The sequence below is a fragment of the Homo sapiens genome, chromosome 16 (assembly GCF_000001405.40).
Source record: "Homo sapiens chromosome 16, GRCh38.p14 Primary Assembly".
NCBI classification, from domain to species: Eukaryota; Metazoa; Chordata; class Mammalia; order Primates; family Hominidae; genus Homo; species Homo sapiens.
The window spans coordinates 14478169-14504119 of record NC_000016.10 but is presented as its reverse complement, the minus strand read 5'-3'; the positions used below and the strand labels follow the sequence as shown (position 1 = coordinate 14504119).

Sequence of the window (25951 nt, the reverse complement as noted above, 5' to 3'; positions counted from 1 at the left end):
TAGGATGATTTCCTAAAAGAGGAATTACTAGGTCAAAGGATATGATCCTCTCTAAGCCCCTTCTCGTTTAGACAGAACACTCACTGACAGTCAGTAGACCTCTCTGCTGAAGAAGGCACACACAAGGACTGTTGATATCATGCCCTTGGTTCACTGCTTCTAAGAACAATTTACCACCATCTGCTAGCAGAGTAGGTGGTCATTACTTTGTATCTTCCTTGACATCAGCTCCTTGCAGCATTGTATGATTGAAACATCTTGAATTTGTATTCCAGTTCTCCTTATACCAGCTGCAAGACTATGGACAAGCCATTCAACAGGGTCTTCAGTTTTCTGTATAAAGTGAGGGTAACAGAGCCTACAGCATTGGCAGCGTGTACTACCTGTGATATAATCTCAGGAAATGATAGCTACCACCCTGAGGCAGGTGACCGTGCTTCTCAAAACCTGCCCAGTCAGTGGTCCAGACCATTTTGGTAGATGCACGGGTGACCACTTCACCTTGGCTAAGAAATACTTGTAGGGCAAATGAGGGCCAGAACCTGAATTTATAGGACAGGATTCCCACCTTTCTGTTGTGTCCACAGGTAGGTAGGGAAAAGAGCAGTATCATAATCCCTTTCAAACAGGAAATTTATTTGAACACCTTCTCAGCTTAGGCTGCCCTCATCTTTCCTTGCATGACATATTCATGATACGTGCGTTTCTATCACCTTTGCTAAAAGAAATAGATACTGCATTACGCTTTTCTCATATGAGTCAGCTCTTTTCAGAATTGCTTCTAACCACAGAGAACTCCTTACAGCTCTCTGAGTGTTGTTTGTGCACCTAGAATACAAATTGACATGTATAAACTACCCTCATGTGGACATTACATTCACCTCCTTGCTGCCAAGAAGAGAAGGTGGAAGTCTCTTTTCCTTTCTGGTGTTCTCATTCCCCAGAAAGGAGAATCCATTCAGCTAGTATCAGTGCCTCTGTGGGGGGAGGTTCTTCTCAAACAACACCAAAGCAGCGTGGATAGGAGCACTCAGGGGCGCAGCGGGGTGAGGGGGGCAGAAGGTGAAATATCTCTACCGTCTTATGTTTTATTTAAACCATTCTCACAATTTAAAAAAATGCTATTCTGCAATATGTCCATTTTACTTTAATATTAATTTGTTTTAAATTGCCAGATTAATTATTTAATTTTTCCTCCCTGATCTCTGGTAAAATCCATGCCCTAAGAAGTTAAGCCGTGGTTCTTCAGTGGCTTGTAGTAATTGCAAGCCCAGGGCTGTTCGGAAGCAGAGAGAAGTAGCTGTATTAGCTGTTCTCTCCTGAAGAAATATCACTGGAGGTATAGAATAGCTAAAACACCTTCCTTGTCTTCAGAGAACTAGCTTGGGTACATGTGACCAGAGGACAGGCACAGAGGCTTAGATCGTATATTTGCTAGGTACCAAGTAGAGTTACATCATAACATTTTGAAACTTGTGTGAATTCAAATGTACTTGATGTGGCTAATTATTTTTTAGGGTGTGAGACTGGTTTTGCTTGTCACTTCACTCAGCAAAAGTATTTATCCTTATCCCAGTGAGTTGGAGATGAAATGGGAGATGTAGATTCTGCCCCTTCCTTGTGAATATCAACTTTCACACTCTTCTTGTAGCAAGCTTCCTGCTGGTTATAAACCATGTGTGTTCACACATGTGTGTACATGTGTGTTTAATAACATGGTGCTCACATGCAAGCCATCGTCTTCCTCTGATGTCCTAGAGGAGAAACAGTAGTGTGTTCTGACCCTGGAGGAAAAACCAGCTGTGTTGGCTTCACTGAGAGACGCATGTTCTCCAGTGTGAAGAAAGAAGTTTCAAGGGTAATTTTAACTAAAGGCAAAGTTCAGCTTTAGCGTCCCCACCCCTTGCCCCATGCGTGAATACTCTGTTGTGACTCCAGTCTTAGATGCTTTCCCTGAAGCCAACTGTGGAAAGCATCTCAGTTCAAAGATAAGAAAACAGTTGCCCAGAGAGGCATGTGGCCTTCCAGTAGTAGAGCTGTCTACCCCAGAGTGTACACACTCATTCCATTGTGCCTTCTGCTCATATGATGTTTGTTAACTCTTTTAAATCCTGAACCAGTCAAAACCACATTTTTTAAAAATAATCTAAACAGCATTTAGCTAAGGCCTCTAGAGAGCTGAGTGCAAGGTGTGCCTGTGCTCTTTCCAGAAACGGCAGTGATTTATGCCTGCACTCTGGCTTGAGTTGTGACAGAACAGGCTCCAATGGGTGTGTGTTTAGTGCCTTGTCTGTGATTTTCAGGATACATTCAGGTAGCTGCTTCCTAATGCATTCCCCAAAGAGTGTGCTTGTGGGCAGAGCATGTGCTGGGGAGGAGGGCCAGCTGTGAGCGGGGGAACAGATGACTCAGCATTCCAGCGGGCTGCCTGCCCAGGAACTCTCACCATGATGGCTTTAATAACATGGTGGCACATTGCCTGGTAACCTGAGGGTTGGTGGGGTTTGTTTCTACCTACTTTACCGAAAAGCCCTCTATCAGCTGTTGGCCAACCACATCAGGGTGGGGTAAGATATAAACTTGGCTCTGCAAGCTGACTTTCTTTTCTATTTTTCATGCCTCTGCCTACATTTTAACATTCATTCTCTTTTTCTTTCTGTTTTTTTTTTTTTTTTTTTTTTTTTGGACAGTCTTGCTTTGTCCCAGGCTGGAGTGCAGTGGCGCAATCAAGTGATCCTCCCACCTCAGCGTCCCAAGTAGCTGGGACTATAGGCGCACACCACCACTCCAGACTAATTATTATTATTATTATTATTATTATTATTGTTTTTTTGTTTGTTTTTTGTTTTTTTTTGTAAAGATGGGGTTTTACTGTTTTGCCCAGGCTGGTCTCTAACTCCTGGGCAGGCTCAAATAATCCAAAAGTGTTAAGATACAGACGTGAGCCACTGCACCCAACCTGCTCGCTTTTCTCTTCTCATTTATATACTATGTAAAGGTGGAAGCTGGATAGTTGACTTCCATATCATGTCCTCAAGGGAATTAGTTACTGAACAGATGGTCTTTTTTATATTAGTTAAAATTATTTTGTTTGCAATTCAGACCTCTGGACTATTTCCCTGGGTGCCTCATAGCAGAAGAATCTGTAGCCATGGACCTCCTTGCCACAGATTTGATTTTGGTGGAACAGATCTGGATGTATGTAGCCTTAGAAGCAAGCTAGGCTTTTTCTTTTCTGTTGGTAAAGGCCTCTAACTGCTGCCCTAAGCTGACATAGGGCACAGGGTACTATCTGTGAGCTCACTGGAAAAATGGGGTTTGTGGAGCTTTATAGCTGGGTTCCATGAAAGCTGCTTTCAGGTACTTTTTTTTTCCTCCATCAAAATCTTAGCATATGCAAAGGCAGTAGAAGCAAATTTATTCATTGGACATGCTTTAAAATGAGACTTTACTTATGTTAGAGGTATTAGATGTAGCACTTTAGAATTAGAATCTAAAGGGTGGTAATATTTTTTTCTAGGGAAAGAAATGTAGAGAGTACTTTATAAAATCCACAAGTGTAGGCAGGCTTGGTGGCACGTGCCTATAGCCCTGGCTGCTCGGGAGGGTTGCTTGAGTCCAGGAGTTTGAGGCTCCAGTGAGCTATGGTCACACCTGTGAATAGCCACTGCACTCCAGCCTGGGTAACATAGTGAGACCCTGTCTTAAAAAAACAAAACAAAACAAAAAAAGTAAAAGATAAAGTTTACAGAAACCATTCTAGCCTGGGCACAGCAGCTCATGCCTGTAATCCCAGCACTTTGGGAGGCTGAGGCAGGAGAATTCCTTAAGCCCAGGAGTTCAAGACCAGCCCTGGCAATGTAGCAAGATCCCACCTCTACAAAAAAAATTTTTAAATTACCCGGACATGGTGGCAAGCTCCTGTAGTCCCAGTTCCTTGAGAGGCTGAGGTGGGAGGATTGCTTGAGCCTGGGAAGTTGAGGCTGCAGTGAACCGTGGTTGTGCTACTACACTCCAGCCTGAGTGACAGAGTGAGACTGTCTCAAAAAACAAAGAATGAAAAAAAGCATTCTGTGTTCTTCTCTCTGTATACCTGACTTTCAGAAGTTGTTTTTCAGTTTCCTAATTTGTGTTGAGTATTTTGACATTGTAGGAAACTCTCAGGTCATTGAGAATTTTAAAATACAATGTTATAAAATATTCAAAAATACTTTGGCATGTGATAATATCACACTTGCCATTGTATTAATATTGTTTTTATTTAAAACATTTTTTGGAGACAGGGTTCCCTTTGTTTCCCAGGCTGGACTTGAACTCCTGGGCTCAAGTGATCCTCCTGCCTCCTCCTCCTGAGTAGCTGGGATTACAGGCACGTGCCACTGCACCTGGCTTGTTTTAGTTTTTTACATTTCTCTCTTTTGGCTTGACTTTTTTATCTAACCAGTTGGTTTTTACAATGAATGTTTAAATAGACAAAAAAGCTCTACACTTTTAGAATGTAGAAAGCAAAATGAATATTTAGAACAATTTAGAGATTTAATGACTTGAGTCTGGAAAGCTGAACAATGTCAATATCACTTTTTTAAAAATCGTATTCTCCTGCTGGCAAAGAATTTCACAGATCCTTTTAATGTCCAGGAGTGGTGAAGAACTTGTTACTTCTTTGAATTTTGGGAGTTGCCACCTTCTATTAATAAAAGCAGTTCCTCAGCAAATGGGAAAAGTTCGCTCTCCCTGATTCCCCTGCAGGCTCACTGTCTCCTTCCACTTCCTCTCTCTGTCCCGCTCTCTCCCTCTCCCTACTTTCTCCTTCTCCCATCCCCCTGTATTACCTGTGTTAGACTCAAGAGTAATGTCACTCAGCATGCTTCCTCTCCTAGCAGCCTAACCTGCTCCAGTTCAGACCTGAATGCTGTCTTTAGGTCTGGTGTCAGCAGCAACAGCCCCCGTAACAGGGAAGCAGCTTACTTAAGGAAAAAGAAAATAAAGAGCTGGAATAGTCCTCCTAAGATCCCAAATCCACAAGGAAGTGATGTGGTCATTTAAAAGCAGAAACAACAATACAAGTGTAGAATCATTGTGTTAAATGCCCAGGCAGGATGGGACTTCAAAATCAAAACAATTCTTACTCAGATTTGCGCCACCATTTGGGGACATTTGGTGACCTTCAGGGTTTCAGCGTGTAGGGTCTAGACAGAACTCACCAATGAAATAAATTAGTCATTGAGCACATCATCTCATCAAGGCAAAGCGTAAAATTGATGTGGAAAATAAAAATAACATCCTCATTCTTTATCCATTTCCCTTTTGGAGAAGTGTAACTCTTTTTCGAAGTCAAATATTGCCAGTTACAACAAGTAAATTTCATCGTCCCAAGGCAACCCATAGTCTGGAGAGAGGATTTCATTCCCTTCCTTTAAAATAAACTGTTCTCTCTCCACAGAGGATGGGAAGCACAGGCACAGGGCTCCATGAAGGCACGGAGGAGCTGGCCTGGTGTTCAAGGAGGTGGTGTTGGCATTTTTTCAAACCTTCTTGGTGGTGACAGATCGTGTATGATGTGTCCTGGAGCTGCTCTGCATCTGTAGGTGGATTGCAGGGCTAGCAGGTGGGAAGAGGTGAGAGGCAGGCCTAGGAAGAGGACTCATGTTCATAGCGCAGCATCCTGGCACCATCAGGAAAGTGCTGAGTGCTTCCAATGCTAGGAGCATGGCAAGGGACGGTTAAAGGGAACCAGAGACAAAATTGTCCCATTTACTATTGATACGGAATTTCTGTGACTCTCTAATAGGTTGGGAGAGGCTGCTTTTGGTGACAGACACCCTCCCTCCCAGGGGCCATGACTCACCTCGCAGGTGAGCTAGCTCAGCTCTGCCTGGCTGCCCATCATTCTCTTTCTCTCTCCAGTTCCCCTCCTCTCCTCCGGGGTTTCACTGGGTTAATGAATAAGCTGAGTCATGAGGTATAAGTAAATTCTTTTTTTTTTTTTTTTTTTTTGAGATGGAGTCTCTCTCTATTGCCAGGCTGGAGTGCAGTGGCACCATCTTGGCTCACTGCAACCTCCGACTCCCTGGTTCAAGCCATTCTCCTGCCTCAGCCTTCTGAGTAGCTGGGATTACAGGCACATGCCACCACACCCAGCTCATTTCTGTATTTTTAGTAGAAACAGGGTTTCATCATGTTGGCCAGGATGGTCTCTTGCTCTCATGTCCTTGTGATCCACCTGCCTTGGCCTCCCAAAGTACTGGGGTTACAGGTGTGAGCCACCGCACCCGGCCAGTAAATTCTTTTATCAGATGAAAACCACTTCAAAACATCCACAGAGACACAGTTAATGAAAGTGTAAATAGTGCAGCCCTTAATGAAAGTGTAAATAGTGCAGCCCAGCAGCTCCTATATTAGCTTATACACAAACAGACTAAGCTTTTCAACCACTGAAACCTGTAAGCCTTAAAATATGTGCTGCTCTGTCAGGCTGTTTGCGTATGTGGCTATGGGAAGTAGAAGAAACATGGAGCACTGTGCTTTATCACCGTATCACTAATGTTGTGGCAGATTTAATACTTCATAAACAGCCCAACAAGTTGCCAAAGTTAGCTAGGTCCAAAAGTGTTGTCTTGATGCAGGTGGTGTGTGTGCCTATTAGGTATATATTTGTACCTGGCATCTGAAGTTCCTGAGAACTAGTCCAGGTGAAAGGACCCAACTTGAATCTGTAGATGCAGCCACTACCTCCAGCCAGTGCTTCAGTTACACGCAGGCTGTGAAGAGATTGTGTCCTAAACGTTCTTTTGTTGATTAACCTTTTAGAACACAAAGCACATTGTCACATAGAAATGCTGTTTTGAATGGTGGGTGTCAATGAGCTGTGTTGTGTTATAGAGTTCAGGTCAGGCAGGGCTTGTTTAGTGGGTCAGGAAATCAATGCTGGTAGATACCAGCATTTAAAAAAAAGAGGGGAGAAAGTCGAAGAAAAGGACGTATGAGAGTGGGTTTCATGTAGTAAAAGTAGGTATTGTTTAGTGATACTGTTGCAATTTAAAACCTATTGCAGGCTGTATGCTGGCATTAAATTGGGAATCCCTCAGGCAGGGGAAGGGGCGTCAACAACGGGTTAAATACTGGCTGTGCACGGCAGTCCAGCACGGTGACATCAGGCAAGTTATTTTAACATGTCTCAGGCACTGTTCTGTCGTATTCAAAATAAGACTGCTTTACAGGGGTAGGATTAAAGATGGAAGAAAATAGATTAATGTTTTAGGATATAGAATAATGTATTAGGATTAGAGATAGTAGAGAACCTGGTGCTTAGTAACCTCCCTATAAACCATGATTGGTATCTGTTTGTACTTCTTTGTAATATGTAATAAGCAGACCTTAAAGATATAGTATTAACTAAGCCGTGTACTATTTAGTCTTCCCTGGAGTGGAATTTATTCAGAGTTCTTGACGTTTAGGATCTGCCATTTCACATGATCTAGCAGATCTTTGATTTTACCTTAAATTATTCTTGTGTAGTTGAGACATCAATCTTAATTTTCTGCCATGAAGTGTGAAGAATGTTGTAAATTGCTTAGGTCTTTCAGCTGTCTGTCAACTTCCTCAAGACTGTTAAGTATGGAATTGCTTCCCAAGTCTATTTTAAGTTGTGTTTCATCTTTTAAAAAAAGAAGGGTTTCTTCTTTTTTTTTCTTTAAGTAATAGTTCTAAACTTTTTGCCAAACTCCCATCTGCTTCTACTTGATGCCATCATAAATTCCTTCTTACCTTCTGCACTTCACTACCCACTTTTTAAGCTGCTGTGTCAGCACTTGGGAAAGCCCTTTTTTGTGTTGGGCTGGGTGTGAGCGCAGAGGCTTTGTTGACTGCTTTGAGGGGCAGGTTAAAGTTGTCATCAGAAGCATGCGTCAGGGTCAGGGAGCTCGGGCTTCACACCCCAGCCCTGCTGTCAGAATCGCCATCTTCAGCAGGCCACTCAACCTCTCTCGGCCCCTGTTTGCCTGGCCATGGAAGGAGAATTGTTACCCACTTTGTGGGGTGGTTTTGAGGAGGAAAAGAGCATTGGGCAGATTGTTAGCACTAGTTGGAAGGTCACATCTCTGGCAGGGACCTTATCAGGTACCAGCTCCATGGCCTCTTCTGCTCTTCCTGTCTTCCCAGGTTCCAGCCCTGGTGCTTTTGGGAAGATCCCTCCCCTCCCCTGACCTCGACCCCTCTTCAGAGGAAACAGTGAACTTCCAGGTGCGACTTCCTGCCCCCAGATTCACAAAGCTGTCCGCGCACACACCTCCCTCCTTCTGTGCCTCTGTCAGACATGTGTCCCCACCATGTGCTCCAAGTCCCTTCTCAGGGGCCTTGTGCTACATTTTATCCATGCCCACCCATGGGCAGAATTCCTTCCACCTGTTCAAAAGAACTCCCACAACCCCAGCTCGCCTCTTCTCCCAAATCTTTCCTTCCTTTTCGGAATTCGAGGCGTCTGCAGTCACCACCCTTACCGTGGTTCCTCGCTCACTCTCCTCTCGCTGTGGTCCCCACACCACAGAGCCTGTTCTTACTGAAGACCCTCTGACCCCTTTGCCACACCCACCAGGCAGTCTTCTCACCTTGCCTGAGTGCTCAGTACTCTGACCTCTGTTTTTTGGAGACAGAGTCTTGTTCTGTGGTCCAGGCTGGAATGTGGAATGCAGTGGTGTGGTCATAGCTCACTACAGCCTCAAACTCCTGGGCTCACGATCCTCCTGAGTAGCTGGGACTACAGGTGCGCACCACCATGCCTAGCTAATTTTTTTTTTTAGTGGACATTGAGGGGTATGTGTTGCCTAGGCTGGCCTCAAACCCGTGAACTCGAGTGATCCTCTCGCCTTGTCCTCCCAAAGTGCTGGCGACTACGGGCATGAGCCACCATGCCTGGCCTCTTCTTCCTCCTTGAAGCAATGTTTTCTTAAATCCCTAGGTTTGCCCTTCTCCTTTTCAGGCCACAGCTTCCCAGGCTTTCATGACTGCCCTCCCCATCCATACGAGGATTAAAGGCCGGTGCTCCTAAGTTCAGTCTGGAGGCTTCTGTGTTTACTCTGCACCTTCTCCTCAGCAATTCCATTCTTTCTCAGGGCTCACACCACCTTCATGCCAGTGATTCCCAAATGTATTCTCTCTGCCCATCCCACATTTCCACCGATGTTTCCCAGGTACTTCAAAGCCACCATCTACCCCATTCCTGTGTTCCCACTATCTTGTTCCCTGGTCCCAGATGGCACAACCCTGCACTGCCCAGGCTAGGACTCGGAGAACTGTGTAGTTTCTCTGTGTCCCCACCTCTTCCATCCTAACAAGCCACCGCCCTTTCTCTCCATATTTATTACCCTGGCGTCCTGCTGATCTCCCGGAATCTTTGTCAGGAGGAGGAGATCTGACCACAAGGCCCTCCTGACTGAACTCCTCAGTGTGGCGCTCCTCTGCGCATCGTTCCGGCTGCACCGCCGGCCCTTCTCCTGCTTCCTCCTTAGGATTCACTATTACGGTCATTCATCCTTAGTCTAGACTGTGTTCCTCTCTCAGATGAGTCACCTCATCATATTCCTTCTGCCTGGATCACAGTTCCCCACCTCCAGAATTTCTACACTACCTGCTCTCCCAACCCTCAAGTCTCAAGAAAGACCTGAGTGTCTTTTCCTTAGGGAAATTTTTCTGAGCCCCAGGTGTGGTCATTTCCCCATGGGAAACTCCAGAGCAAGCTCCTTTTCTAACCCTCAGCCCGTGGGTGATGGTCTGTGCTCTCTTTCTCTCCTTGAGTACTGGGCTTTGTCTCTCTGATTTCACTCTCAGCCTCAGTTGCCTAGTTTTAGAAGATAGTTTGTTCATGAATGAATGGATAGATGAATAAATGAACAAGTGAGATTGAAATATACAGGCGTTCATTAATGTCCATGAGAGACTGGTTCCAGGACCCCTGAGTATACCAAAATTCTCACGTACTCAGGTCCCCCAGTCAGTCCTGCAGAACGTGTGGGTATGAGAGGCCCTCCGTGTAGGCAGGTTTCAAATCCCTCAGAGACTGTGTTTTCAAGATGTGTTGGGTTGAAAAATAATCTGCATATAGGCGGACCCATGCAGTTCAAACACAGATTGTTCGAGGGTCAACTGTATTTGTTTGGAAAGTAGTTAGCATAGTTCTTTACAAGCATTATAGTAAGTACTTAGTAAATGGTGGCTTTAATAATTTTTGACTGACTTTTCAGCCTGAAACCATGAAGAAGAAAAAGAAAAACACCAGGCTGGCTAATCAAAGCAGGGTTCCTTAGTGACATCATTCATTCAATGCTGAGGCAATTGGCTTGGGCCATAGGAACTTACAGCCTAAGCAGTAGCTCTTCCACCTCTCAGTCAGCCTGTTAATAGCTTGTATTTATTGTCGCCTTTGCTGCTGCCCCTGCTCATGTTGAGATTATCATTTCCCACCTAGATACCTGCCTACTTGGTGTTGCTCTACCAGTCTTTTCGCCTCCTTTACTCTTCCTTCAGATTGCAGGCTTCTTAGGATCAGGGAATCTCTGCTTCCCACTGCTGCATCCCAGTACCCAGTGCCAGTGTTTATTGAATGAGATGGCTGGGCACAGTGGTTCATGCCTGTAATTTCAGCCCTTTGAGAGGCCAACATGGGTGGATCGCTTGTGCCCAGGAGTTTGAGAACAGCCTGGACAACATGGCAAAACCTTGTCTTTACAGAAAATACAAAAATCAGCCAGGTGTTGTAGCATGCACCTGTAGTCCCAGCTACTCAGGAGGCTGAGGTGGGAGGATTGCTTGAGCCCAGAAACTCGAGGCTACAGTGAGCCGTGATTGCACCACTGCACTCCAGCCTGGGGAACAGAGCGAGAGACCCTGTCTCAAAAATAAATAAATAATAAATGAATGAATGAGATGAATGTTTTAACAGGTGGTTTCAGGAGAGTTGGGAGAAAATCAATTAACTAATTTTGGTCTCGGAAAATTTTGAAATTTATAGTTCAGACTTTTAAATAATGGTTTCTTTTTTTTTATTGTTGTTTGAGAATATGCAGAGCAATGGAATGTCTTATATTGGCTTTGGCAAAGTTCTTTTTGTCTGAATTATATATTTGTGATTTAACAGCAGTAACCTTGTTAATTAAGCACCCACTGTGTCTCAGGCCCTGTGATAAAAGCTTTGTAAGGTAGGTGGAGATGTCTGTTTTATGGATAAGGAAAGAGAAGTCCAGGGAGGCAGGTAACTCACCCCACACAACTTAAGGTTTGGGCAGGATTCTAACCCAGGCCTGTGTGGCCTCAGAGCCTGTGGTTTTCCCATTTGACTTTGTGGCTTCCGTTTGGGTAGGTTTTAAATAATTAAACATCACCATTATTTTCATGTCTAGTTTGTAAAGACTGTTTTCTTTGCTGCTTCCGTGGCCTCAATTGGAGAACTGTAAAGTGAAGTGACACATGGGAACAGTGGCCAGTGTGCATGCCTGTCCATATTTAATTGAGGGGAAGGATGGGGAGGTAGCAGAGTAGAGGGCCTGACTTGCTCTAGGTAACAGAACCAAGATCACACTCTGCCCTGTTCTGCTACATCCTAGTTGGGTGCCGATGGAACTTTCTCTCTGCCTCGTCAGTGAAGCACTGATAACAGCACCTGCCCTCACCATGGTGAGGGTCCAGGCGGTGGGATCTGTGGAAGCTGTCTGTAAACACCTCACGGCTCTCCCAGGTTCCTCTGCACTCTGTGTCTCTGTAAGCATAGCCCTCTGAGCCTGCTTCCTTTCCTTGATTCATTTCCTTTCCTTTCCTGAGTGCATCTCATGGGTCAGGCGCTGCCATGGAGGCCCTGAGAAAGCAGAGAGGAAGGAATGCCGTCCTCCACTATCTTCCCTAGTTTTGTCTGTCCCCTTTACGGGGCTCAGATCTCTTTCACTGCCCTAGTTTCTACTCTTTCAGCCTCAGGACTTTTTAAAAAACATAATTAGCCTTTGTTGGAGAAACACCCACGATATGAAAGGAAGCATGAAGGACAAGGAATCCCAAGCTCTGGCTCCCAAGGGTGTGAGCAGGCAGGTGGGTTAGCCTCTGCTATCAGTGACGGTGGCCTGTTTCCTGCCCAGGCAAAACTACCCGTTCGAGCCAGAGCCAGGGCCTCCAGTTTCCAGTCCAGGCACTTTTTTCACATACCAGGCTTCAACATGGGATTTTTAACTGAAAAATGTATAAGTTTGTATCCTCATTCTGGCTTGTTTTTTCTCTTGAGTGGAGACAGGCTGCCAGCAGACATAAAAGCTGTTTTTTATTCATTCATTCATTTATTTGTTTACTTATTTATTTTCCTTTTTTTTTGAGATAGGGTCTTACTCTCTTGCGCAGGCTGGAATATAGTGGTGCAGTCTTGGCTTACTGCAGCCTCAACCTTGCTGGCTCAAGTGATCCTCCCACTTCAGCCTTCTGAGTAGCTGGGACTATAGGTGTGCACCACCACACCCAGCTAATTTATTTTTATGTTTTATGTTGTAGAGATGGGGGTCACACTATGTTGTCCAGGCTGGTCTCAAATTCCTGGGCTTAAGCGATCCTCCCACCTGGGCCTCTCAAGGTGCAGGGCTTACAGGCATGAGCCACTATGCCTGGCCTGAAGTTTTGTTTCTTCCTATGATCATATGTTGAATTCCTGGAAAACTACTATGATAAACCCTAGGTGCTACAGAAATGAATAATGTATAATCCCTTCCCTCAGAGAGCACCTGGTCCTGTTCAGAAGACAACAGCTAAATGTGGGAAAACAGAATTGAGATGAGAGGGCTGGACAGAGCTGGGTTATTATTGAGGCAAACTTGCTGGTACACCAGTTGGGTGTACCAGCAAGTTTGCACTTTATCTTGGATGCCGAAGGGTTTAACAGAATAGAATGGATCATGTCAGCAGGGTAAGGATGGACTAGAGAGGGTGGAAAGGAAGGCTGTCATTTTCTGGGCTTGCCTCCCCATTTTTACTTCTTTGGGCATGTTGGAAATACCTTCATTTTACCATGTTTCTGTTAGATCACTGATTCCTGTTTCCAACTTAGTATCTGCCTAGTTCCTTAGATGGGTTAAGGGGAAATACATCTGAGATCATTTTTCTGAACACAGGAAAATGTTCATAATGACCATTAGGGTTGGGTGTTTCTGTTTTCCTTGATTTTTAATATCTTTCTTTAAAGATTTTTAAAGCTTGCCCTTTTGCAAAATCTGATAAAACCCTCCATTCTCTTATCTGGTAAATTGGAGAGGCTGTCCATCTGTTGTAAATTTAAACTTGATCAAACTTTATGGAATATGAAAAAACTTTTGTATTTAATATATTCATATTTAAATAAGCAAACAAACACAAAGCAACCTTTAGTGTCATCCAGGCTTGGGGTGACAATCCTGAATGACAATGTGGTGATTTAGGGCCTCACGCTGGTGGGTGCTCTGAGGGGAATAAGGAGAGGCCATCTTAAAGGGTGTCAGAGAGGGCGTCTTTGACATTAAGGCACACACTGGCATTAGAGGAGTAGGATTTGGGCCTGTGAAGTAGGCAGAGGCCACTCTTGGCACACATCACTTCTGATTGTGGAGTAACACACCAGGTTATCACACAGGGACTCCTTCCAGCGTTTGCACAAGGCTGTTGGGTGGAGAGATGGACACACTGCTTCCTTGCAGACAGATGTATGCCTGTGTTAACTCTGCATGACACAAACCGGGTGCCTTCCAGTGCATGTGGTGTCGTGGAAAGAATGTAGGCTTTGGTTGGGGTCCCAGCCTACACATGTAATCTTTGGGACCTTGGGCCAGTCCCTTTTTATGAGTCTCAGTGTCCTTATCTATAAAGCCAGGATAATGCTGACAGGATTTTCTGTGCTAACAGAGGAAATAGCCAATAAATAGTTCTCTTTCTTTGTTTTATTTTTATTTATTTATTTATTTATTTGAGACAGGGTCTCACTTTGTCAACTTGGCTGGAGTGCAATGGCACGATCTCAGTTCACTGCAACCTCCACATCCCGGGCTCAAACAATCCTCCAGCCTCACCCCTCCAAGTATCTGGGACTACAGGCATGCCTGGCTAATCTTCGTATTTAAGTAGAGACAGGGTTTCACCATGTTACCCAGGCTGGTCTTGAACTGCTGGACTCAAGTGATCCGCCAGCCTTGGCCTCCCAAAGTGCTGGGATTATAGGCATGAGCCACCATGTCCAGCCCTCTTTGTTGTAACCATTGGGTTAATACGAATATAGGCAATTCCCTTAGACATTGAGAACTTGATGTTTGCTGAGAGTGGCCATGGCAAAAAATGCAGGACTAATGGTGTGTAACTGCTTCAGCAGTTTCCTAGTACACTCTCCCCACCCACAAACAGTTGCTACAATAAACTGGTTTCAACCCTCTAAGAAGCAGACTGCAAAAATGCCCTTAGCCACCGAGCAAGGCTGAAGTCTGGCATCTGAGTTGCAGTACGCATTTACACCACATGTGTCCCACTCAGGGGCTCCACTTCCATGTGACCGAAGACATTGAAACAGGAGTAAGTTTGAGCTAATCTTAAAGAGACCTTCTCACTTAAGCAGATTGTATTGGAAATGGCCTTTAGTAGTTGGACAGGGTAAAACAATGGAAAAGCTAGAATTTTTTTTTTTTTTTTTTTTTTTTTGAGTCTCTCTCTGTCGCCAGGCTGGAGTGCAGTGGCACGATCTCGGCTCACTGCAACCTCTGCCTCACATGTTCAAGCGATTCTCCTGCCTCAGCCTCCCGAGTAGCTGGGATTACAGGCGTGCTAGAAATTTTGTTTGTTTAAAATGTAATGCACATCTGTGAAACCACCACTCAACCAAAGAATTAAAACATTACTAATAAATTACATCTACCTATTGCTCTTCTCCTCTCTAGTTCTCCTGATTCCCTTCCAGTACCAGCTATTCTACTGAAGTTTGTGCTGATCATCTTCTTGCTATTTTTTGTTCTCCCTCTCATACACACCCCCGCCATGTGTGTATGTATGTGTGTTGCGGGGCGTGAGGGGGATTGCATTTATCATTCACCGTTACATCACTGAGATTCATCCATTTTATTCTGCGTAGCTGTAGTTCACTCATATTTTCTCTTAGACAATATTCCATTTTGTGAATATACTGCAGATTTGTCCATTTACCCAAGGATAAGGATTTGGAGCCCTCTTTCTCTTTCTTTTTAGCTATTATGAACAGTTTTTTTTTTTTGGAAACTATTGTATTGATCTCTTATTATTCGTGAGTGAAATTGCAGGGTCATAGGAAGTGAGAATGATCATCTTTAAGTGAGAACACTAACTTGTTTTCCAAAATGGTCGTACAACCACTGGGGATCCTGTTGCTCCACACCTTCCCAATAGTTGTATTATCAATGTTTTTTATAATTTTTGCCAACGCAGTAGGTATAGAATCATGTCTCATCATAGTCATGATTTGCCTTTGTCTGTGGCCGAGCATCTCTGCATATGTCCACTGGCCTCACACACCTCCCTTCTGTGCGGTGACCGTGCTTCTCATGCCTTGTGCCCACTTTTCTGCAGTTGTTTCCTCACTAGTTTGTGGCTATTTTTATATATTCTAGTGCTAATCCTGTCAGTTGAATGTCTTACAGATATCTTCTTCCAGTTTATAGATTGTCTTTCTTCTCTTTAAAGTGTCTTCTGATGGACAAAGGCTTTAATATTAATGTAGCCAAACTTATTGATCTTTTCTTTTATGCCTGTCCTTTTTTCTATCTTTGTAAATTCTTCCCTACTTCAAGCTCAGAAAGATACTCACTTATATTTCCTTTTCAAATTCTCAGAGTTTGCTTTTGACATTTCAGCTCTTCATCCATCTGGAGTGAATTTTTCGGCATGGTGTGACTAAGAATCCAATTTCTTTTTTTTTCCCCCCCATGGATAAACAATTTTTCCAGCTTTTCCTTTTCCAGGCAGTTCTGTCAAAAATCAAAGTTTCACAGATATATACGTGTTTTTCTAGGCTCTTAGAATTCTGTACCATTGGTCAGTTTATCTCAGCACCATTACTCCACTGTCTCAATTCCTATAGCTTTACAATAAGCTTTTTTACCTAGTAAAGCAAGTCCCCCTTCCCATTCTTTTTTAGAAATGTCCCAGCTATTGTTGGCCCTTTTATTCTAATTTTAGAATTCATCTTTCAGGTTTCCCAGAATAACTGAGGTTTAATTGATGTATAATAAAGTGACCGTCTTTGGTGTACAGTTCTGTGCCTCAGCAAATGCATGCAGTAATGTAATCAGCACTGCAATCAGGATATAAAATAGTTCTGTCACCTTCAAAATGCCCTCCCCTTCTTTGTAGTCAACTTCCTCTCCCGTTCCAGCCCCAGCACCAGCCCCAGGCTCTCACAACCACTGTTGTTTTCTACCGAGATTTTTTTTTCTTACTTTTAATTTTTTTCAATATTTAATTAAAATGTTGGAGGCCAACTCTGGGCACACTGCCTATGAGTTAGCCCTGTTCCACAGAAGTTGTTTAAAAAATAAAATAAAATGTTGGAATATTTTTGCTGGAGTTGCAGTAAATCTATAAGTCAATTTAGGAAGGAATCTACATCTTATGTTGTCTTCCTCTTCATAAACATAATGCATCAACTTAGTTGGAAAGTCTTTGCTTGACAGTAGTGGAAAGTTCTTTAAAAAACAATAAAGTCTAAACATTTTAAGTAATTCCTTAATACAGGAAGCATTTTATAAGCTAATTGTCAACCTACATAAACAAAATGCATATAAATACACAGCAGGCATGTGGCAGTATTAACATTGTTAAAATGTATATATAAATGCCACATCCTGGTTTCAAGCCAGCTTTGTTGCTTACCTACAAGACCTCAGGCAAGCTGTTTAGTTTCTCCGATGCTCAGTCTCTTTATTTGTGTGGTGACTAGAACATCCGAAGATTAAATGCTATGCTGTGTGCAGTGTCAAGAGACAACCGCGTTGATGCTGCCTTCGGATCCTCCGGCGAAGACTTCCACCGGATGCCCCGGGTGGGCCGGTTGGGATCAGACTGGACCACCCCGGACCGTGCTGTTCTTGGGCACAGTGAAGCCGGAGTGTTTGAGACTCTTATGTGAGGGAACTGCTCCCACTCACCTCCAGGGAAACAGGGAGGACTCTTAGCACATTTGGTTCCCCAGTGGCTTTCACAAAGTGGCAAGACCGATAGATTGCCTTGAATCATTTCCCTGACAAATTTGGAAAAGGTTAGTTTTACCCAGCAGCCTGCTACATGCTGCTTCTGACAGGCGAGCTGGAATAGCTGGAGGACACAGTTGACAGCCAATTCATTTTGCTGATTCATCCATTAGAGGCGTGGCTTTGAGCCAGAGCTTGGCTTCTAGATTAAAGGCCGAGAGCTGCAAAGCTGCTGGGACTCAAGGAATGCTGGTAAATTATTGCCACGTGGAGGCCAGCAGTGAAAAGCGGACTGTTATTTATTTCCCCTTTTAAGTGATCCTAAATTCCAAATGTGCTCAGATAAATCCCCTCGCCATGGTTAGGGAGTTGTTTGTAACATTTGTCTATCAGCTGGGAGCTGAATTATTGAAAACTATCAGATATCATTAAATAGATTAACTCAGCTCGCCTGTGACCCTGTCATCACCTTTGCTTTCATGGGGAATATTGACCCAAGCCTCCTCTCCTACTTGGTAATCCAAATTAAACTTGAGAGAAGGATTTTTTTCGAGATAGGGTCTTGCTGTGTTGCCCAAGCTGGAGTGAGTACAATGGTGCAATCGTGGCTCACTGCAGACTTGACTTCCTGGGCTCAGTCAATCCTCTCACCTCAGCCTCCCTAATAACTGAGACTATAGTCTGAAGCCACCACATCTGGCTAATTTTTGTGGTTTTTTTTGTGTGTGTGTGGAGAATGGGGTTTTGCCCCATTGTCCAGGCTGGTCTCGAACCCCTGGGCTCAAGCAGTCCTCCTGCCTTGGCCTCCCAGAGTGCTGGGACTGTAGGCATGAGCGACCACACCTGGCAACAGAGGGATTATTGCAGATGTCATCCCTTTTGGGTGTGCTTGCAAATCAAAATAAACCTTTTAGATTAAAGAACGCAATAGCCAGGCCAGGCACGGTGGCTCACGCCCATAATCCCAGCACTTTGAGAGGCCGAGGCAGGCGAATCACTTGAGCTCAGGAGTTCGAGACCAGCCTGGCCAACACGGTGAAACCCTGTCTCTGTGAAAATTACAAAAATTAGCCAGGCGTCGTGGCGCACGCCTATAGTTTAAGCTATTCAGGAGGCTGAGGCACGAGAATCACTTGAACCCGGGAGGCGGAGGTTGCAATGAGCCTAGATGGCGCCACTATACTCCAGCGTAGGCGGCAGAGCAAGACTGTCTCAAATAAATAAATATATTAATAAAAATAAAGAACTTTCTTAAAAAAAAAAAAGAATTGAAATAGAAGAAAATCCAGGAGAATGCTCATTGGTTAACAATTGGTACAGAATAATGATGGTAGAACCAATGGGTTCTCATATGTCCACATTGATAGATGAACATATTTTAATCTGTCACAAGCTTAGGGAGTGACAAGCTTACAGCGAAATCACCACTACATAAATCTGGTATGTGACAGGGTGACCTTTAAGAGAGGGTGGAGATTGTGTCTTGATTTACCAAATACCTGACATAGTTCCTGGGACAAAAACACTCAGTAAGCAGTTACCACATGGAAGAATGGGTGGACAATGGTTATTGGATATGAATTGTTGGGAGGCTGGGTAAATGAGTGAAAAATAACAGAAATATGACACATTCAAAGTAAGAAAAATAACTGTTCCAAGGAATAAGATTTTCAGGAAAGGATCCTATTTCTGTGGCTCTCTGATATGAGTAACTTTACTCAATAGCACATCTCCAGAACTGCCTGCTTTCACCGCTTATCTCCTGAGTGAGGCAGAGTGTGCTGTTTTCAGCTCACATTTCAGTAACCCACTCCACTTCTTTGGGAGACATTGTATAATATGAACATTCTCTAGCACTTTCTTTTTAGAGACGGGGGTCTCACAGTGTTGCCCAGGTTGGTCTTCAACTACATAGGCTCAAGTTATCCTCCCGCCTTGGCCTCCCAAAGTGCTGGGATTACAAGTGTGAGCCACTGTGCCCTGCCTCCCTAATACTTTGAGGGTTTTTTTTTTCTTTTTCTCTTTAACTCTTGAGTGAATATTTTAAAAGTACACAAACTTCTTAGTAAAAATTTGTGTTTTCTGAAGAAGTAGAGTTTTTTCCTGTTTTGTTCTGTTTTTTAGATGACTAAATATTTAGGGCATGACATTCCGGAAACCTTTGTTGCACTAAGTTTTAGTGAAGTCTGGCCTAGTTGAAGATTAAAATGTGTCAGGTGCCGGATGTGGGACATCTGCCTCTCATACAGTTGTCTTTCCCTCTGTTTTAAGGTCCCTGGTAAACTGGAGTCCCTTGTCCAGTGCCGACGTGCCCACAGCCTGCATGCTCGTCACCAGCACTGCATTCTGCTCTGCATTCAGTCACATCATTTTTATTGAGAACTATTCCATATCCAGGGGTTTTCTAGGTGCAAGTAGACAGATTCTGTTTCTGACATCATGGCGCTTTGCAGCTACCAGGTACAAAGACTGCCCTGAACAGCGTGGCCAGGCTCTGATGGTCTCACTGCCAGTGTGGGTAATAGTTGTTGGCAGTGATAGTGGGCTAGGAACGCATATGCCTAAACTGGAAGCCAGAAGTAGCAAATGGGCACCAAGAGGCCACCATTGATCCTCACTCCCATGCCGCCATCGTGATCCATCCACAGCAGCCTCAGAAGAGGGGGCAGCATGGGATCAGAACACAACTGACCTGGCCTTAGTCTGAAGCATTAACACCAAGGGGGGATTAAGCCCCAGTGTTCAAGTACTGCTGCCAGCCAGAGGCGCATTACGGAGAATTAGCAGTCTTTAAGGCAGAAGGAGCAGAGGCATGTCCTAAGTATTGTGCAGCTGTCTTAAATTTGCAGAGTGCATAGGAGCTAAGTTATGAGGAAGCAAAGGCATAAGAATGATGTAATGGACTTTGGGACTCCAGGGGAAGGACAGGAGGGGGTGAGGGATAAAAGACTGCACACTGGGTGCAGTGTACACTGCTCAGCTGATGGATGCACCAAAACTCAGAAATCGTCACTGAAGAACTTTTCCATGCAACCAAACACCACCTGTTCCCCCAAAACTATTGAAATAAGATAAATACAAAAAAATGCATATGTAGTGTAATTCCAGTTATAGGTAGCTCAAGAGAAGGCAAAATTAAGCCCTGATGATAGCAGTGGTGACAGCAAAGTTTTCAAGTTGAGGAAGATAATGCCATAATTGTACTACACATCTGAGGCGCCTTCGTCCAGTGAAGGAGGGGTGGGAGTCTGTCTAAAAACAGGCATGAGGGTGAGGGGGATGTTCTTTATCTTAATTTGCGTGATGGATGACATGTGGGTGTACAAATTTGTTTAAAACTCATTGTAACAGAACAGGTAATAAAGCCTGATCATTTAAAAAAATTAATAAAATGAAAATAATAAAGCACCTCCAATAGATGCAGAGTAATAAGAAGGACCCTGGTATTAGGGTTTGAGGAACCTGGTTTTGCATCTTATCCCTGCCATTCACCCAGGGATGGTCTGCAGCAAAACCCTGACCTCTGTGATCCTGCTTTCTCACCAGTAAAAACATTTCCTCTCTTGCAAGCGTACTATGAAGATTAGATATAATGCATGTAAAACACTGCACACAGACATACCGGAGATCTTCAGTGTGTGACACAGTAATCGCCACCACTGGCAATATTGCTTTTTGTTGTCATTTTATTTTAGGAAAATAGTGAGGGTTTATAGTTTTCCCTTAGTGGTTTTGTTTATTTTCATTTTGTTACTCTGAAAATGAATAATATCCAAATAGTAATGTTGGCTGCAAATATTTTGAAAATTAATATTTTACTTATATCATTACCGGTTCTTTACAGTTTACAAAGTACTTTCACACTGAAAATGAGATTGGGGAGCAATGGCTTTTTTTTCCAGGTGAGAAAACTCAGACTTGGAGAGTTTGCAGGTGTACCCAAGGTCATTTGTCTTCCAGGTGGCAGAGCCAAGGGTCAGACCTCAGGCCTGATGGGGCTCCTTTGACCACCTTAGGCCACATTTCAAAAGTGTCATCTTTGGGGCTAGGCCAGACTTTTGTAAGCATTTTATTTTTTTTTCTTTTCCTTGTAGCTGTCAATACCAGCAAATATGCAGAAAGCTATCGGATCCAAACCTATGCTGAATATATGGGGAGAAAACAGGAAGAGAAGCAGATCAAAAGAAAGTGGACTGAAGATAGCTGGAAGGAGGCTGACAGCAAACGGTTAAACCCCCAGTGCATACCCTACACCCTGCAGAATCACTATTACCGCAACAATAGGTAAGAGCTCTCAGCTGTTAATTTAAAAGGCCAGAGTTCTAGCAATGGCTTTTCTTGTTGCTTCTCATAGGTTTGTAAGTACTAAATCTGACTTTTGGGAAAGATGGCCTTTCAACTTTTCACATCATATCAGAAGTGACTATGACCTGAATTTCCTGTATTTTAGAGACTGCTTTATAGACCATAGCCATTTTGGTTAACCCTCACAAAACCTCTTTGAGGTAGACAGGAATTTTTTTTTTTTTTGAGACAGGGTCTCATTCTGTTGCCCAGGCTGGAGTGCAGTGGCACAATCACAGCTTGCTGCAGCTTCGACCTCCTGGGCTCAAGTGATCCTCCAACCTCAACCTGAGTAGCTGGCACTACAGGTACGCACCACCACACCTGGCTAATTTTGATTTTTTGTAGAGATGAGGTCTCGCTCTATTGCCCATGCTGGTCTCAAATTCCTGGATGCAAGTGATGCTCTTGCCTTGGCCTCCCAAAGTGCTGGAATTACAGGTGTGAACCACTGTGCCTGGCCCAGGATATGTCTTACTCCCATTTTAGGGTTGAGGAGATGGAGGCTTTGTGTCTTGTTCACCAGTTCTGTGCAAGAACCAGGATTAGAAGTGAACTTGTGTGTGTCTGATCCCTTGCTCTTCTCAGTACTGCTGCCTCTGCCTGATCTCCTGAGCTTTCAGGTCCTGTAGATACTGAACCAGGTGCCTACTGTAGAAAGAATGCTTGACTCACACTTCCTTTTATCACCCATAATCCTCCCTGCAGAAGATAAATGCTGGCAACATTTGGTATCTTTGTGAAACTACAAAACACAGGTATAGAAAATGGGAAAAATGTGTACATACATATGTTCATTATAGAAAATTGTGAAGTTTAGAACAATGTGAATTAACAAGAGAAAAAAATTAGCCATAATCCCAACACCCAGAAGCAATCACTGTTAATATTTCAGATTGCCCTCTGTACTTTAAAAATGGTTTTTTAGAGATTAAAAAAATTGAGGTATGATTAAAATAAAATAAAATGCAGAGATCATAAATGTTTAGTTCAAAGAGTTTTAACAGTTGGATACACTCATATAATCTCCAACCAAAGCAAGATATAGAACATTTCTATTTCCCTTGAATTTCCTTGTGTCTGTTTTCAAACAATCCCAAATTCCCACTACAATTCCCATGACCCTAAGCAACCATTTTTAAATTTTTACCACTCTAAGATTAGTTTCACCTATTCTTGGAATTTATAAAAAATAGAGTTGTTTGGCATTGTGTTTAACTTTTTTGCTTAATATATTTTTAAAATTCATCCTTGCTATTGCATCTCAGCAGTTTTTTAATCGTTGAGTATTTAATTATGTAAATATGCAGCATTTATTTTACCCCCATTCTCTTGATGTTGGACATTTGAATTGTTTCTAGTTTGGAGCTATTATCAGTAAGGCTGCTGTGAATGTTTCAGTAAGATAATTTTTTTGTCTGCATATGTAGGAGTAGAATTATTGATTTTTAGGATAAGTTTGTGTTAAACTTTATAAGAACAAAGCAACAGCTCTTCAAAGTGGATATAGCATTTTATAGTACAAGTTTGATATGCCATTTTATTGTGTGAGTTTCAGTTGCTCCACATCCTTGTCAGCATTTCATGCCGTCAATCTTTTATGTTATTTATTTATTTATTTATTTATTTATTTATTTTTTGAGGCAGGTCTTGCTCTTTTTCCCAGGCTGGAGTGCAGTGGTGCGATCTTGGCTCACTGCAGCCTCTCTCCTGGGATTAAGTGATTCACGGGCCTCCGCTTCCCGAGAAGCTGCGACTACAGATGTGCACCACCACACCCGGTTAATTTTTGTATTTTTAGTAGAGACGATGTTTTGCCACTTTGGCCAGGCTGGTCTTGAACTCCTGACCTCAAGTGATCCGCCTGCCTCGGCCTCCCAAAGTGTTGGGATTACAGGCGTGAGCCACTGCACCTGACTGTCAATCTTTTAACTTTAGTCATCTTAGATGGAATGAGACAGTATTGCATTGTGGTTTTAATTTGCATTTCTCTCATGACTAATGATATTGACGACCATTTAATGTTCTTGTTGACCAATGAGGTGGCTTTTTAAGTCTCTTGCCCCTTTTAAAATTGGGTTGTTTGTCTTTTCGCTATTCACTTATAGTTCTTGTATGTAGTCTGGATACATAGCCTTTGTCAGATATTTTTGCTGCACGTGTATTTTTTCAATTCTGTGGTTTACCTATTCATTTCTTTGTGATGTTTGTAAATGAGCATATATTTTTGATTTGTTCTTCTTTTCTTTTGAGACAGAGTCTTGCTTTGTTGTCTAGGCTGGAGTACAGTGGTGCAATCTCAGCTCACTGCAACCTCTGCCTCTCAGGTTCAAGTGATTCTCGTGCCTCAACTTCCTGAGTAGATTACAGATGTGCGCCACCACGCCCGCGTAATTTTTGTTTTTTTAGTAGAGACAGGGTTTCGCCATGTTGCCCAGGCTGGCCTCGAACTCCTGGCCTCAAGTGATCCGGCAGCCTCGGCCTCCCAAAGTGCTTGGATTACAGATGTGAGCCACCAGACCCAGCCAAATACTTTTAATTTTCATAAAGTCTTGTTTATTAAGTTTTTTCCCGTTTATTGTTAGTGAATCCCCTCCTCCCCCAAAATCTTTGTCTACCCTAAGGTTGCAGTGATTGTCTCTTTTTTTTTTTTTTTTGGTAGAAGGTTTGTAATTTTAACTTTTACATTTAGGTCATGACCCATTTCAAATTAATTGTGTATGTGGAGTAAGATATGGAAATCAGGGTTTATTTTTTTCCATATGACTATCTGATTCTTCCAACAACATTTTAACAATTTGTTTAAAAGAGTTTTCTTCCTTCATTGGTTTGACTCACTACCTTTGTCAAGAATCAACTGATCGTGTATGTCTAGGTCTGTTTCTGCTCTCTTCACTTCCAGTCAGTTATGTTTTTCCTTATGCCAGTACCACACTATCTTATTACTGTTGGTTTATAGTGTCTTAAAACCAGAAAGCATATACCCTCTAACATTGTTCTTTTTCAGATTTCTTTGGCCATTCTAGATCTTTTGCATTCTATATAAATTTTAGAATAATCTTGCCAGTTTCTTCAGTAAGCCTATTTTTTAGTTTTTACTGTGGCGATCTTGTATATTTTATGTTAGTTTTCTTCCTAAGTTTTTTTTTTTTAATAGAGATGGGGGTCTCACTCTGTCATCCAGGGTAGAGTACAGTAGCATGATCACAGCTCACTGCAGCCTTGACCTCTTGGGCCCTAGGAGTCTCCTGCCTCAGCCACCCAAATAGCTGGGACTACAGCCACTTGCAATCACTCCCGGCTAATTTTTAAAAATTTTTTTGTAGAGACAAGGTTTTACTGTGTTGCCCAAGCTGGTCTCGAACTCCTGGGTTCAAGTCAACCTCCTACCTTGGCCTCCTAAAGTGTTAGTATTATAGGTATGAGCCACCAGGCCTGGCCTGGAATTGTTTCTTAAATGTCATTTTCAAACCGTTTGCTCCTTTTGTATAGAAATACAATTCATTGTTGCCGGGCATAGTGGCTCCCGCCTATAATCCCAGCACTTTAGGAGGCCAAGGCGGGCAGATGACCTGAGGTCAGGAGTTCAAGACCAGCCTGGCCAAACACTGTCTCTACTTAAAATATGAGAATTAGCTGGCCGTGGTGGCAGGTGCCTATAAGCCTACTCAGGAGGCTGAGGGCAGGAGAATCACTTGAACCCGGGAGGCGGAGGTTGCAGTGAGCCGAGATCACGCCATTGCACTTCAGCCTGGGGGACAAGAGCGAGACTTCATCTCAAAAAAAAGAAATATAATTCATTGTTATATATTGACTTCATATTTTGCAACCTTTTTAAATTCACTTATTTGTTCTGATAGGATTTTTTAAAATATTCCATAAGGTTTTCTATGTGCACAATTATGTTGTATGCTGTTAACAAGTTTTACATCTTTTCCAGTCTTTATGTCTTTTATTTATTTTTCTTGCCTTATTGCACTGACTAGCACCTTTAGCTAGTCAGTGGTTAAGTAGAAATAGAGAGAGTGGATATCCCTGCCTTGTTTCCAGTATTAGGGAGGAGAAGTTCAATGTTTCCCCATTAAGTAAGATTTTAGGTTGTTCATATACATTATTTTTCAGGTTTAGGAAGTTCCTTTCCATTTCTAGTACGTTAAGAAATCATTCAACATCACAAATGGATATTAAGTCTTTTCAGGTGCTCTTTCTGTGTCTTTAAAACTTGTCTTATGGGTTTTGTCTTTTATTTATTTATTTTTAATATTTCTGAGACAGGGTCTGTTGCCCAGGCTAGAGTGCTGTGGCATAATCATAGCTCACGGCAGCCTTGAACTCCTGGGCTCAAGGGATCATCCCACCTCAGCCTCCTGAGTAGCTGGGACTATAGGTGTGCACCACCACACTTGGCT

The 25951-nt window shown here is 43.1% G+C and overlaps 1 protein-coding gene and 1 long non-coding RNA gene across 12 annotated transcripts in view, besides 8 other annotated features; one reads left to right on the top strand and one right to left on the bottom strand.

Annotated features, from left to right (window-relative positions):
- PARN (poly(A)-specific ribonuclease) overlaps positions 1–25951 on the top strand; it is a 194560-nt gene that overhangs the window by 126141 nt on the left and 42468 nt on the right. For 7 of the 11 annotated variants that reach the window (XR_007064884.1, XR_007064883.1, XR_007064882.1 and 4 more), the window contains one exon: positions 21293–21482. Coding sequence is in view for 7 of the 11 variants with exons in the window: in NM_001134477.3 (NP_001127949.1) it covers positions 21293–21482 (190 nt within the window). In the remaining 4 variants the exon portion in view is untranslated. Of the gene's footprint in view, positions 1–21292; positions 21483–21731; positions 21851–25951 lie in introns of those variants that run through there. The other 4 variants (XM_047434184.1, XM_047434181.1, XM_047434183.1 and 1 more) reach the window with 2 other exon arrangements.
- Positions 2254–2548: an enhancer, noted in NCBI's record as "tiled region #10217; HepG2 Activating DNase matched - State 5:Enh, and K562 Activating DNase unmatched - State 5:Enh". NCBI's record gives its function as "activates a minimal TATA promoter and a strong SV40 promoter by Sharpr-MPRA in HepG2 and K562 cells {active_cell/tissue: HepG2 | K562}" and the evidence as "EXISTENCE:reporter gene assay evidence [ECO:0000049][PMID:27701403]".
- Positions 2254–2568: a biological region, named in NCBI's record as "Sharpr-MPRA regulatory regions 10217 and 14533".
- Positions 2274–2568: an enhancer, noted in NCBI's record as "tiled region #14533; HepG2 Activating DNase unmatched - State 5:Enh, and K562 Activating DNase unmatched - State 5:Enh". NCBI's record gives its function as "activates a minimal TATA promoter and a strong SV40 promoter by Sharpr-MPRA in HepG2 and K562 cells {active_cell/tissue: HepG2 | K562}" and the evidence as "EXISTENCE:reporter gene assay evidence [ECO:0000049][PMID:27701403]".
- Positions 5882–6026: an enhancer, noted in NCBI's record as "145 bp enhancer 233 fragment used in the MPRA reporter construct; PK_construct_3132". NCBI's record gives its function as "activates an SV40 promoter by MPRA in HepG2 cells {active_cell/tissue: HepG2}" and the evidence as "EXISTENCE:reporter gene assay evidence [ECO:0000049][PMID:23512712]".
- Positions 5949–5959: a transcriptional cis regulatory region, noted in NCBI's record as "NFE2L2 motif; enhancer activity is reduced when this motif is scrambled". NCBI's record gives its function as "necessary for full MPRA enhancer 233 activity {active_cell/tissue: HepG2}" and the evidence as "EXISTENCE:site-directed mutagenesis evidence [ECO:0005528][PMID:23512712]".
- Positions 7432–7954: an enhancer, noted in NCBI's record as "H3K27ac-H3K4me1 hESC enhancer chr16:14590023-14590545 (GRCh37/hg19 assembly coordinates)". NCBI's record gives its function as "activates a minimal SCP1, AML or CMV promoter by ChIP-STARR-seq in primed H9 embryonic stem cells {active_cell/tissue: H9 hESC(primed)}" and the evidence as "EXISTENCE:reporter gene assay evidence [ECO:0000049][PMID:30033119]".
- Positions 7955–8477: an enhancer, noted in NCBI's record as "H3K27ac-H3K4me1 hESC enhancer chr16:14589500-14590022 (GRCh37/hg19 assembly coordinates)". NCBI's record gives its function as "activates a minimal SCP1, AML or CMV promoter by ChIP-STARR-seq in primed H9 embryonic stem cells {active_cell/tissue: H9 hESC(primed)}" and the evidence as "EXISTENCE:reporter gene assay evidence [ECO:0000049][PMID:30033119]".
- Positions 15078–17118, bottom strand: LOC105371094 (uncharacterized). The gene is made up of 2 exons (XR_933105.3): positions 16882–17118; positions 15078–15977 (listed from the first exon to the last, which is right to left on the bottom strand). It is a non-coding gene; the product is annotated as an uncharacterized LOC105371094 (long non-coding RNA).
- Positions 17517–18452: an enhancer, noted in NCBI's record as "H3K27ac-H3K4me1 hESC enhancer chr16:14579525-14580460 (GRCh37/hg19 assembly coordinates)". NCBI's record gives its function as "activates a minimal SCP1, AML or CMV promoter by ChIP-STARR-seq in primed H9 embryonic stem cells {active_cell/tissue: H9 hESC(primed)}" and the evidence as "EXISTENCE:reporter gene assay evidence [ECO:0000049][PMID:30033119]".